General features: G+C 39.4%; 1 protein-coding gene across 10 annotated transcripts in view, besides 1 other annotated feature; it reads right to left on the bottom strand.

The window, feature by feature from the left end:
• PAK3 (p21 (RAC1) activated kinase 3) overlaps window positions 1-14,068 on the bottom strand; it is a 282,965-nt gene that overhangs the window by 206,742 nt on the left and 62,155 nt on the right. For 4 of the 10 annotated variants that reach the window (XM_047442148.1, XM_047442149.1, NM_001128166.3 and 1 more), the window contains one exon: window positions 6,720-6,792. The exons of the other annotated variants lie outside the window; for them this stretch is intronic. The gene's annotated coding sequence lies outside the window, so the exon portion shown is untranslated. The remainder of the gene's footprint in view (window positions 1-6,719; window positions 6,793-14,068) is intronic. 10 annotated transcript variants of the gene reach the window in all.
• Window positions 9,311-9,811: an enhancer, noted in NCBI's record as "H3K27ac-H3K4me1 hESC enhancer chrX:110254037-110254537 (GRCh37/hg19 assembly coordinates)". NCBI's record gives its function as "activates a minimal SCP1, AML or CMV promoter by ChIP-STARR-seq in naive H9 embryonic stem cells {active_cell/tissue: H9 hESC(naive)}" and the evidence as "EXISTENCE:reporter gene assay evidence [ECO:0000049][PMID:30033119]".

The following is a 14,068-nucleotide window of genomic DNA, read 5'->3' as shown; positions in this document are numbered from 1 at the left end:
TGGTAGTTCTTGGAGCAAAAGTTCATGATGAGAGTCTCTATACACTGCTCTGTCTGTCTGAGTGGGAGCTGCAAGCTAGTCCTGCCTCCTATCTGCCATCTTAATCCTCCCTCAGGCCTACATTCACATTGTTGTGCAATCATCATCACTCTCTCCAGAAATGTTTCATCTTCCCCAACTGAAACTGTATACCCAATAACCAACAATTCCCCATTCTCCCCTCCTCTCAGCTCCTGGAAACCACCATTCTACTTTCTGATTGTATGGATTTGAGTACTCTAAGTACTTTATACAAATGGAATCATACAATATTTGTCCTTTGGTGTCTGGCTTATTACACGTAGCATAATGTCTTCAAAGTTCATCCATTCCTGTAGAATATGTCAGAATTTCCATCCTTTCAAAGGATGAGTAACATATACATTTTCTTTATTCATCTGTTGGTGCACACTTGGGATGCTTCTAACTTTTAGCTATTGTGAATAATGCTGCAAGGAACATGGATGTGTAAATATCTACTGAAGTCCCTGCTTTCAATTTCTTTGGGTATATACCCAGAAGTAGAACTGCTAGATCATATGGTAATTCTATTTTTAATTTTTAAAGGAATTATCATACCATTTTCCATAGCAGCTGTACCATTTTACATTCCCACCAGCAATGCACATGAGTTCCTATTTCTCCACATCCTGGCTAACACTTGTTATTTTTTGTGTGTTTGTGTGTGTGTGTGGTTTGTAAAATGGCCATCCTACTGGTGTAAGGTGGTATCTCATTTGTTGTTTTGATTTGCCTTTCTCCAATGACTAGTGATGTCAAGCACCTTTTCATGTGTATATAGGTCATTTGTATATCTTCTTTGGAGAAATGTATATTCAAATCATTTGCCCCCCCCCCTTTTTCTTTTCTTTCTTTCTTTTTTTTTTTTTGGAGGCAGGGTCTCACTCTGTCACCCAAGCTGGATTGCAGTGGCACAACCACAGGTCACTGCAGCCTCAACCTCCTAGGCTCAATCAATTCTGCCACCTCAGTTTCCTGAGTAGCTGGGACTACAGGAGACATGCCAGGCTAATTTTTTTTTTTTTTTTTGTAAAGATGGTGTTTTGCCATGTTGCCCAGGCTGGTCTCAAACTACTGGGCTCAAGCCGTCTTCCTGCTTTGGCCTCACAAAGTGCTGGGATTACAGGCAAGAACCACTTTGCCTGGCCTTTGCATAATTTTATAATCGAATTTTGTGGTTGTTGTTGAGTTTACAATTCTGGATATCAATCCCTTACCAGATATAGGATTTGCAAATACTTTCTCTCATTCTGTAGGATGCCTTTTCACTCTGATATTGTCTTTTGATACATAAAGGTTTTTAATTTTAATGACATCCAACTTATCCATTTTTTTGTTGCCTATGCTTTTGATGTCATATACAATAAATCATTGCCAAATCCAATGTCACGAAGATTTTCCCCTATGTTTTCTTCTAAGAGTTTTATAGTTTTAGTTATTATGGTTAGGTGTTTTATCTGTTTTAAGTTAATTTATGTATATGGTGTAAGGTAAAGGCCCAACATCATTCCTTTGCATGTGGATATCCAGTTTTCCCAGCCACCATTTGTTGGAAAGATTGCTCTTTCCCTATTGAATGGACTTTGTGCCCTTGTCAAAAGGGTACAAAAAGGTACCATCTAATGAGGGTTTATTTCTGGGCTCTCTTCTACTCCATTGGTATATGTGTCTGTCATTATGACAGTGCCACAATATTTTGATTACTGTAAGCTTCGTAGTATGTTTTGAAATTAAGAAGTGTGAGTTCTCCAACTTTGCTCTGTTTCATGATTGTTTCACTCATCTGGGGTCCCTTGAGATTCCATATAAATTTTAGGATGGATTTTCCTATTTCTGCAACAAAAGTCACTGGGGTTTTGATAAGGATTGCACTGAATCTGTAGATCACTTTGGGTAGTGACATCATAAATATGTTAAGTCTTTCAATCTAAGAGCATGAGATGTATTTCCATATTTCCATTTATTTGTGTCTTTAATCTCTTTCAGCAATGTTTTATACTTTTCAGTACACATTTATTTGTCTCCTTGGTTAAGTTTATTCCTAAGTATTTTATTCTTTTTGACACTATTTTAAATGAAATCGTTTTCTTCATTTCCTTTTCAGATTGCTTGTTGTCGGTGTATAGAACTACAACTGATTATTGTATGTTGATTTTACAGCCTGACAATTTCCCAAATTGATTTATTAGTTCTAATAGTTTTTAAAATAAAATCTTCAGCATTTTCCATATAGAAGATCATATTGTCTGTAAAGAGAGATAATGTTACTTTTTCTTTTTCAATTTAGATTCTTTTTATTTATTTTTCTTGCCTAATTGCTGTCTGTCTAGGCATTCTAATACTATGTTCAATAGAGGTGCCAAAAAGCTGACATCCTTGTCTTGTTCTGATCATTGAGTAAAAGCTTTCAGTCTTTTACCATTAAGCATGATGTTAGCTGTAGGTTTTTCATATATGGCCTTATTATGTTGAGGTAGTTTTCTTCTATTTTTAGTTTATTGAGTTCTTTTTAAAAATCACAAAAAGGTGTTGAATTTTGTAAAATGCTCTTTCTGTGTAACTTGAGATGGTCATGTGGTTTTCCCCTTCATGCTGTTAATGTGGTGTATAATATTGATTGATTTTTTTAATGTTGACCCATCAATGCATTTGAGGAATAAATCCCACTTACTCAAGGCATATAACCCTTTTAATATGCTATTGAATTCTATTTGCTAGTATTTTGCTGAGGATATTTGCATCAATATTCATAAGGTATATTGGTCTGTAGTTCTCTTGCAGTGTCTCTTTCTAGCTTGATATCAGGGTAATGCTGGCTTCATAGAGTAAGTTAGGAAATATTCTCTTTTCTTTAATTTTTTAAGAGTTTGAAACAAATTGATGTTAATTACTCTTAAATGTTTTGTGGAAATTAGAGGTGAACCCATTGGATCTTGGCTTTTCTTCCTTTAAATTATTTTGATTACTGATTTCATCACCTTACTAGTTATAGGTGTATTGGCATTGTCTATTTCTTCATAATTCAATATTGGTAGGCTGTATGTTTCTACAAATTTGTCCATTTTATCTAGGTTACCACATTTGTTAACATGCCATTCTTCATTGTACTCCCTTATAATCTTTTTATTCCTTTAACATTTTTGGTAATGTCTGTGCTTTCATTTCTGATTTTAGTTACTTGAGGCTTCTCTTTTTTTTGCTTAGTCGATCTAGCTATAAACTCTGTCAATTTTGTTGATCTTTTCAAAGAGACATCTCTTGGATTCATTGCTGTTCTCTATTTTATTCTATTTTATTTATTTTATTTTCTATTCACTATTTTTATTTATCTCTGTTCCAATCTTTATTGGTCTCTTTCCTCTGCTAGCTTTGGGTTTAGCTTGTTATTTTTTAATTCCTTAAGGTGTGAAGTTAGGTTGTTGATTTAAGAACTTCTTTCTCAATGTAAACATTTATAGCCATGAATATCACTTTTAGCACTGCTTTCACCGTGTTCCATAAATTTTGATATGTTGTATTTTCATTTTCATTCATCTCAAGGTGTTTTCTAATTTCCCTTGTGATGTTTTCCAGCCCAAAGCAGGGACTACTATCTTTGTTGAGTTTTCACTATTTAGCACTGAGAGCCCCAAAGGCAACATTAATTTTAAAATAAAGTAACAGGTCAGAAAATCCTATTTATCTCCAAGAGTCCTAGGGCAGGTGCTTTAATCAACTCCTAATTATTCCTTTCTTCTTTTGCCTCCTCTCCTCTCCTCTCCTCTCTTCTCCTCTCTTCTTCTCCCCTCCCTCCCTCCCTCCCTCTCTCCCTTCCTTCCTTCCTTCTTTCCTTCCTTTCTTCTTTAGCACTGATGTAGTATATGTGAGATAAGTAATGCATGGACATCATCCAAAAAGAGTCTACTGAATAGTAATCACATTTGTGGTCCTCCTCTCTACCTGCATTAATGGTTACTCTTGGAAATAACGCAAACAGTGAATTATCTTCCTGGTCGCAAAACAAATTTGGATCTTGGCACTTGAGCACGTGTGCACATATATATGTACACACACACACACACACACATACTTTTAAGAAGGCAAGCTGACAAAAAGTTTCTCTTTTGAATTTCTCATATTTCCATTCAGTTATCCCAGCATTGCCTCTCCCTGTCTCAGACAGCTAGTGCACAAATAATGATACCAGCTAACATTTATGGGGACCTTTCCGTATGTCAGGCACAATGTCCCCACCTGCTGCCATAGAGTCTCCTCTTCCTGAGAAGGCCCCATGTTTTCTATTCACTCCTCCAACCTATGTCTCTCCTTTGGCCCAATCATAGATGCTATCCTCTAAGCTTCCAGTTAACTAAAAAAATAATTTTGCTAAGGCACTCATGGCTGATAATAGGTTAATGTGCATATGGAGATTCAATTAATTGGTTGGTACATATTCGTGAGCACCTACTATGTGCGTGGCACAGAGCATGACACAACAGACAACACAAGAGGAATCATGCACTGTACCTTTGGAAAGCTTTGAGTTTCAGTGAGAAGACAGGATATAGACACATTAAAATAACACTAAAGAGCAAAAATAGACAAATATGACTACATTGAACTTAAAAACTTCTGTGTGGCAAAGGAAACAATCAAGAGTGAAAGAGCAACCCATTGAATGAGAGAATATATTTGCAAACCACATATCTGTTAAGGGATTAATATCCAGAATATATAAAGAACTTCTACAAATCAACAGCAACAGCAACAACAACAACAACAAATAACCTGATTTAAAAATGGTGGAAGGATTTGAATGGGCATTTCTCCAAAGAGATATACAAATGACTAATAAGCACAAAGAAGATGCTCTACATCAATAATCATTAGGGAAATACACATCATAACCACAATGAGATATCACCTTACACCCAATAGGATGGCCATTATCAACAAGAAAACAGAGAATAACAAGGGTTTGCAAGGATGTGAGAAATTGGAACCCTTGTGCATTGCTGGTAGGGATGTAAAATGGTGCAGCCACTATGAGAAACTGGATGGAGATTCATCAAGCAAACAAAACAATAACTACAATATGATACAGCAATTTTACATCTGGGTATATATTCAAAAGAGTCAAAAACAGTATCTCAAAGAGATACTTGTACACCAATGTTTATAGCAGCATATTCACAATAGTCAAAAGGTGGAAGCAACCCAAGTGTCCATCAACAGATGGATGGATAACCAAAGTATGATATATCCATACAGTGGAATATTATTCAGTCATAGAAAAGGAAGAAATCCTGTCACATGCTACAACATGGATCAACCTGGAGGACATTATGATAAATGAAAGAAGCCAGTCACAAAAAAGAAGCCAGTCACTATACTAGTTAGTAGTATAACTCGCGAGTTATACTACTTACTATACTACTTACTATACTAGTTAGTAGTATAACTTGCTAGTTATACTACTTACCAGTTACACTTGCTAGTATAACTAGTAAGTTATACTATTTACTAGTGCTAAACCCTGGGCTAGGAGCTTGATATAACTTAATCCTTGCATAATCCCTGAGATGACTACTATTATTGTCCCAATTTTACAGAAGAGGGACTTCAGAGAGTGGTAACATCATAAGGCTTCTCTAGCCAGAAGGAGCACATAAAAACAGAGTTGATAGGAATTTATTTCCTGGGCTGCTTCTCTTTTGTTCTTTTGGAAGATAAAGTCATTACAGCTCCAGTAAGTGAGTCCCTGCGGAACAAGGAAGCCGGCAAATATTTCTTAAAGTAAGTAGAACTAGAGCTGGTTTTCAAAGGGTGAATGCAAGTCAGACAGGAACCAAGAACAGTAGTGGACATTTCAGGCTTGGGGGCTTAGCAGTGCAAAGGTAAAGAATGTCCCAGTTGTGTGGGGAAGACAGAGAGCAGAACGAACGGCTGAAGCAAAGGGTTCCTTTAAGGACAATTGGAAGTCTCATGGGAGAGGCAGTTTAGGGCCAGGTTAGTGCAGTCTTGAATGGCAAGCAAAGGCATTTTAAACTTATGAGCAGGCCAGTGGTCTTCACACTGTGTTCCCTGAGGACCAAGGGTTCTGCCAGGAGCAAGGGGCCCAGAGCTTCCCTACTTTCTCACCCCCAACTTCTCACTTCAACTACAGTGTGTCTACATATTTTTTAAGGCATGTCTACTTTTATCTGCTTTACATTTTGGGATCTTAACTACCTAATTTTTTTTACTTGAAAAAAAAGGTGCTGCTGATTTGAAACCAAAGAACAAACAGACAAATGAACAAATGGACTTTGAACACCACTGCAACAGGCAGTGGAAAGCCGACTATGGTTTTTGACTAGGGGAATAATATAATCAGAGCTTTGTTTTAGAAATATAATTTTGCCAGTAGCATATAGTGTAGACTGGAGGAAAAGATGCTAAGTAGGGAGATCTGCTGGGACTTTGCTGTTTAAGATAACAAAGCCAGTGGCAAGTGGGAGTGGTTAGCAAAGGGAAAGATGTTTGAAACATTTCAAAGGATATACATACAGCCTGGTTAATGGATCACGTAACTGACACAACATGAAGAGGCAGGAAGTAGTCAAGGAATCACATCTTCAAAGAGGACATTTCTGCTGATGAGGAAGATATTTAGGGACACAGAGACCATTCAAGTGTACCTCAAGTCATTCCATGTTGGGCGAACTGAACTTCTGACTCCTCAGAAGAGAAAGCTGTCCTCTGTATGTTATTCTGGAAGAGAAAACAAGCTGATGCATTCATCTTCAAGAGTGAGTCAGGCAAAATAAAGGGCTGTTTTTTAAGACTACTCAGAGACCAGTTGTGGGATATTCCTGCCTGATAAGAAGAAATTCTGTTGGGGGTCCTAAAGAAAAATGGTGAGATACAAGCTTAGATTGGAGAAATGTTCTTATACGCCTGTACTATCTGTGCAGAGCAATAACTATTTTAGATTGGGCTCCAACAAATTCAGAATAGGAGCTACAGGGCAGCAACCAGATTTAATTCAATAGTCTCTAGAGCACCTAGTGCATTACTGGTGCTCAATCAGTGTTATATTAGCCATGGAAAGAAGCATGGATCTACATGCCTGAAGTAAAACAGAAATTGAGTTAGGCCAAATAAGACTCAAGCAGAGACCTAATGAGAGATGGAATTAGGGTCTCATGTTCTACCCATCTTCCCCAAGTGAGACAAATGCTGGATGGGGAATCCCTAATTTAAGGCTTAGCTCTGCTGCTAATTATGTATGTGACTTTTGACAAGTCATTTACCTCTCCAGGCCTAATTATCTCTGTTGTCAAATGAGAAGAGTGATTCCTGTCATACTATGATGCTGTGAGGGTAGAATTGGATTGTGAAATGAAATTGCTTTAAAAAGCATAAAGTATCACACACAGCAAAGTATCTTGATACAGATATTTTATGCCTGGAAAGTGGCATGTGAGCAGAATTTTTATAAATCAAACCACATATGAACATCTTAACAGGGCCAGGCACAGTGGCTCACGCCTGTAATCCCAAGACTTTGGGAAGCTGAGGTGGGAGGCTTGCTTCGGCCCAACCTGGGAAACATAGCGAGACCACATCTTTTTAAAAAATTAAAAAATAAGCCGGGTGCTGTGACACATGGCTGTGATTTCAGCTACTCAGTAGGCTGAGGTAGGAAAAATTGCTTGAGCCAGGAAAGTGAAGGCTGCAGTGAGCCATTATTGTACCACCACACTCCCGCCTGGGTGACAGAGTGAAAGACCCTGTCTCAAAAAAATGCAAATAAAAAAATAACACCTTAAGAGTTTGTAAAACAAATGTGAAATAATTTTACAGTGAACCCCCATGTACCCACCATGTCCTTGATACTTAAAAGCACTATTCAGCAATACTTTTGCAAAAGTAATTCCTTTAGTAAAGCAGATTGATGTTCCTCATCTTCTGTTAACTTGTGCTCACCTTACTTTTCCAGCCTTTCCAATTCCCCTTTTATTGTCCTGCAAAGGAAACTTTATCTGAGGGAGAACCAAAACATGTCTGCTGCCAACAAAATTTGTTTTCTTTTTGTTTCTCAAGGTTGAGCCTAAGGTGATCGTGGCTAGAAAAGGCAGGAGAATAATTGGATTGTGTCAGTGAAAGAAGGCATCTGGAGAAATTAGTCCAGTTAGATAAATTACAACCCACCATTTCTGGGATCCCAATGAAGAGAAGATCATATCCTTGGATGCCCACTCTTTACAACCGTCCTTTACTATGGGTCATACGTTGATTATTGGGAAGGCAAATGAAATCTGCTTAACTGATCAACAATAAACTTTTTGATAATAGGATGAGGGAATCAGAATGCAATTTATGAATATCAGCCAAGCAATTTTTCCATAAGTAAATTAAAACCCTTTGACCCAGCAATCTTTCCCACCATATTTACCAACACTGGTAAATATGTTTACCATATTATAATTAGTTAAGGGTCTTCCTGTTCCACCACACTTCATCTCCCTGATATGCAAGTGGTTTAGCAGCAAAGCAGGCAGACAAAAAGTCTCTGAGAATGACTACAATGTTCTAAACAACCCAAGTGCTTATCGATAGATGTACAGTTTAATAAATCCTGGCATATTCATATTGTTCATATTATGAAGTATCATGTAGTGGTTTGAAAGAATGTACCAGATCTATAACTACTGATGTGCTAGGAGGTCTGTGATGCACTGTTAAGTGCAAAAGCCAAGCTGTAGAGAAACATATATCTCACAATCCCATTCTAGTACAAACAGCAAAATCCCCTATGGATGTCTTACATGCCTGAATACAAAGAAGGTTGCATGTGCACAAAGAAGGTTGTGGGAGGATTTGAACCCAGGCTGTTAATACTGCTTACACTGCAGAAGCAGAAGAACGGAGGAGAACATTCCTGTGCATTGTTTCACTGAGGGCAATGAATACGTGGAAAATTTACAATTTCTGAAAACACTTAATAATTCTTTAAAAGAATGATATGTAGTATTTAAAAGACTGCTACCCTCCACTGCTTCCTAGCCTTTCTGGTCCACTGTCCTGCATGTCTACATTGAGGGATAATAAAAGTTATTTCTTGCTGAGAGACTTTTTGTCTGCCTGCTTTGCTGCTAAACCACTTGCATGCCAGGGAGATGAAGTGTGGTGGAACAGGAAGACCCTTAATTAGGCTTCATCTTCCTACACCTTCCCAACATTTCTGGGAAACACAAATAACCTACATGGGAAGTCAGACACAGCCTTGTGCATAAACTGCTTTTGTGTGAGTAAGAGGCAGCTGTGTTTCAAAATCATGCCTTCATTTCGAGGAATCAGGAAATTGGCAAGCCGTGTGGTCTAGGAGTCCCAACTGCCCAAACTGCCTTCCCCTTGCTGCAGCCTCTCTCTTCTTTGGCATCCTACCTAACCACCCCCAGCCCCAAGAATAACAATCTGAATCACAAAAGAGGCACCATCTTTTGAGCACCCACTATGAGGCAAGCACTGTGCAAAGCACTTTCAAATTTATCACCTCAAGTTAATCTGCATCTCAACCTCTGTGATAGGTAGGCTGTGATTTTTCAAAACTAGAACAGGCAGAAGACATCTTATAAGGCTTTCACTGGGTTTATTCAGCCCCGGATATATCAAAAGTGGAGGATTTTTCCAGTGCTGTTCCAAGTACATTTTAAAGACACAGATTAGGAGTTCAGAGAAGTTGGCTAGTGCGCTAGACCATTTTTGTATTGCTGTAAAGAAATGCCTAAGGCTTGGTCATTTATAAAGAAAAGAGGTTTAATTGTCTCACAGTTCCGCAGGCTGTACAAGCATGGCACCAACATCTGCTTGGATTCTGGTGAGGGCTTCAGGAAACTTACAATCATGGTAGAAGGTGAAGGGGGAACCAGCATATCACATGGTGAGAGAGGGAGCAAGAGAGTCAGGGGAAAGGTGCTGCACACTTTTAAACAACCAGATCTTATGTGAACTCAGAATGAGAACTCACTCATCACCAAGGGGATGGCACTTAGCCATTCATGAGGAATCTGCCCCAGTGATCCAATCACCTCCCATAAGACCCCACCTCCAACACTGAGAATTACATTTCTACATGAGATTTGAAGGGAATACAGATCCAAACCATATCAGCTAGCACTTAAGAGTTCACACAACCATGAAGAGTAGAAATGGGCGTGGCTTGTCAAGGATTTGATTTGGCTAGAAGAACTTGCAGCTTCCCGGGGTTATCACAGAGCTCCTAGGGAGCTCTAATTCCCCAGCATGAAACTGGGTGGTTCTCACATAATCCCAAGAAGCCATTATTCATGATGTCAGTTCCTGACATTGGCATAGCACTTTACATTTTGCAAAAACATTCCCTGCATGTTTTTATATTTTATACTCATAAATCTGAGCGAGGTAAGGCAGGACAATTTCCACAATTATATAGAGGAAGAAACAGTTTCAGATGGGTTAGGTGAACAGCCTAACGTCAAAAACTAGGAAGTTCATGAACCAAGACTAAAGTCTAGCAGTGGATGAAGGAAGCTACTGTCTGTGGTTGCAAATGAATATTTTTTTTTCTGTTAATTATCCATGGTGGGATTATGGGGCCACAATATTACTCAGCCGTGTAAAGCATGGGTTTTGTCACTTGCTCTTGGACAAATCAGCCATTGGCTCTGTGCCTTAGTTTCCTGATCTATTAAAAGTAGATATTAACAATGCCTGGCCCCTAGAGTCATTGTAAGGATTCATTTATGAGATAACTCATGAAACACATTTAGCGCAGTGCTTGGCATGCAGGAATAATTCAGTACATATGCAGTATTATTCTTATTGTTTAATATATTTAAGATGTGGCTCTTGCCGATAGGTACAAATATAAAGCAGATTCTGTGAGGTTGTGGAGCCTATGAAGGTTATTCTGCAATAGATGCTTTAATATGAAGCAAATTTACTCATAATAACGGGGAGGCCAAAGATAGAAGACATGATAACAAACAGGACTGTGATTCTCAGACGTCATAATTGATAATAAGCCTTTTCAGGTTGTCTGTTGACCCTGGGGCCACGAAGACTAAGGTCAATGGGCAGCTGACATTGTGCTGTGCCTGCTTTCAGGTGTGCCAAGCCTGTCCTGGCAAGAAGTGGCTTCACCAGTCCCATTCTGCACTCTTCCAGTGCCATCTTTTAGACCTGGAATCTTTCCAGTGGGTAAATATCCTCACTCTTCCTAAAAGTACATGTATATCAGAGACACATATCCCTTTGCCCCCAAAGAGCAGGAGAGTGGAGAGAGAGAGTACAATTGAAAAAATGAGGAAGGAGAAACAAAGTGGGGATGTGAAGAGGTATGGAATAGTGACAAGAAGGGTTACAGAAGGCAATGAGCCCTGCCTTCCTCTGGATACAGCCAGCTTAAAGGGGTAATCAATTCAGAAGAGCTGTGGTTCTGTAACACTGTGAATGTACCAAATGTCACTGAATTCTTCATGTTAAAATGATAAATTTTCTGTTATATGAATTTTACTTCAATATTAAAAAAAAACCCTCAGGGGCTCTCAGTACCATGGTTACAGAGAAAATTTTAGGCAGACACTGGCTCTGGCTTGGGGTTCAAAGAGCCTTTCATGGGCAATAAATGCCTATTTGTGTCTTTCCTGTAACCTGTCCTCTCAGTGCTGCCCACTCGTGTGTATCTATGCATGTGTGTGCATGATTTCTCAGAGTAGCTCCTGTGATCCTTGACTGTAAGACTTTTCTCAAATAATAACAGCAATTAAAACACTCAACCCTTATTAAGCTCTCACTATGTACCCAGCTTTAATCCTTGCAGCAATCCCCAGAGGTAGGAATTATTATCACACCCTTACTACATGTGAGAGAATGGAGACTCAGAGAAGATCCAGGAGTTGCTAGAAAGTCACCCAGCAAGTAAAGTGGACATGCTAAAACTTGAACCCAGGCAGTGATGCTTCTGATGGCTGTGCTTGCAGCATAGTGCTCTCTGCTTCATGCACTGAACACCTACTCACTGCCAGGTGTCATGGAGACACCAGAAATGGTATAAAGGATAGGGCCTCCGCCCTCAGGGAAATGACAGTGAAGATTGGAGAGGGTCTACTGGAGGAGGCTGCAAAGTGTGCTTGGCTGCTAAGTAAATCTCATAATACAAAGGTGCTCAGAGAAGAGCTGACATGATAACCACAACAATTATGATATTTCATGTTGGCTGAGCACATTTATATGTGCCTGACATGTGTTTAACATGTCTGACTTCACTTATTCCTTACAGCAATTCTGTGATTTATATACCAGCACCAGTGTCACTTAAGAGTAACGGAACTGAGGCTCAGAGAGGTAAAACAAAGCAACTCATCCAAGATTGCACAACTAGCAAGTAGGACTAGACTGGATTTGAACTACTCTTTGTCTACACATAGAAGAAACTTAATAAATGCCCATCAAGTCCATGACTATCTTCCATTTCTTGAGCACTTGCTGTACTCGCTATTTGATTTAATACTCACAACTCTATGAAGTCAGTACAATTATTGACCCTATTTTATAGATGAGGAACCCAAAGCTCAGAGATGTTAAGTAACTTGCCCGAGTTCACACACTTATTAAGTGGTAAAGCGAGGATACAAACTCAGGGCTGACCAACTCCAGGGCCTTTCTCATTTGTCTTCTAGAGCTTTTCTCTGGGGTTGCATGCTCAGTAAAGCTCAGTTGCCTTCTGTGCATTCACACTAGTTGGCCTCGATTTGGATGTAAACAAGGAAGATATAAATAACAGGATAGCCTCTAATTCAATGCATGGAAAGCACAATCACAACACACAGGCAGAGGGGAAAGGAGCTACCTTGAGGGGGAAATGGTAGAGCAAGGTTTGGGAAGTTCTGATGGAAGCAGGGTCCTCCAAGTGAGAGACATTTTGGTTCTCCACTTACAGTGGAAGCAACAAACTCAAAGCATGCCACAGCCAGCATGAAATGGGAATCCTCCTTGGAATTTTATTTCTAAGAAAGGGGTCCTCACCTGGAGGAGGCAGCTGGACCCACGCAGCCTGTACCCTGACACTTCATCAGAACTATGTTGCTCTCTATAAGAGCCTCAGCTTGGCTCCACTGCCACCCACTGGAAAGGGCTGCACTTCTCCTGGGACTTGTATCATAAACTTGCTTTTGAAGAGACCATTCATACCTTCTTCCATTTGCTGCAAGCCTTTGTTTATGCTTATTCTGCTAGGTGCTCTGTTCTGTTCTGTGGATCAGAGTGACTCCCACAGGGCAGGTTGGGCCCCACTGCAGACTTTCTGAATCCCTCACGGGGAGTTGCCATGGTCAAGGGGTCAAGATGATGGGGCTGCCAATCCATAGAACTCTGCAGGCCCACTCCACTTAGAGAATTTTTCTTGCAGTTCCAAAATACTTGTTTACTGACTGACAAATTTATGGTGGGGTAATTCAGTCCAAGAATTGCTACTCTGAGGGTGGCCCATGGAATAACCTCATTGGCATCACCAGGGAGTCTATTAGAAATGCAGAATCTCAGGGGGGCATGGTAACTCATGCCTGTAAACTCAACATTTTGTTTGGGAGGCCAAGGCGGGAAGATCACTTGAGCCTGGAAAGTTGACGCTTCGGTGAGCCATGATCACACCACTACACTCCAGCAGAGGCAACAGAGGGAAAACTTATCAAAAAAAAAAAAAAAGAAAGAAAGAAAGAAAGAAAGAAAGAAAGAAAGAAAGGGAAATGCAGATTCTCAGGTCCCACTACAGACTTTCCGAATCAGAAACTGAATTTTAACCAGATCTCCAGGAGATGTGTATGAGCATTAAAGTGGAAGAAACACTGATGTAGGATAATGTCTCAGAAAGGCTTTCAGTCTCACCTATCTATAGCAGGTCCCCATTCCCTCTATTTGACTGAACCCAATGGTTTCCAAATTTGGTTGGGCTTTATTTCATCAGGGGATCTGTTTTATTTTTTATTTTTTAAAAAGAATTTTG

The sequence above is a fragment of the Homo sapiens genome, chromosome X (genome assembly GCF_000001405.40).
Source record: "Homo sapiens chromosome X, GRCh38.p14 Primary Assembly".
Lineage (NCBI taxonomy): Eukaryota > Metazoa > Chordata > Mammalia > Primates > Hominidae > Homo > Homo sapiens.
This window is presented reverse-complemented; position numbering and strand designations above follow the sequence as displayed.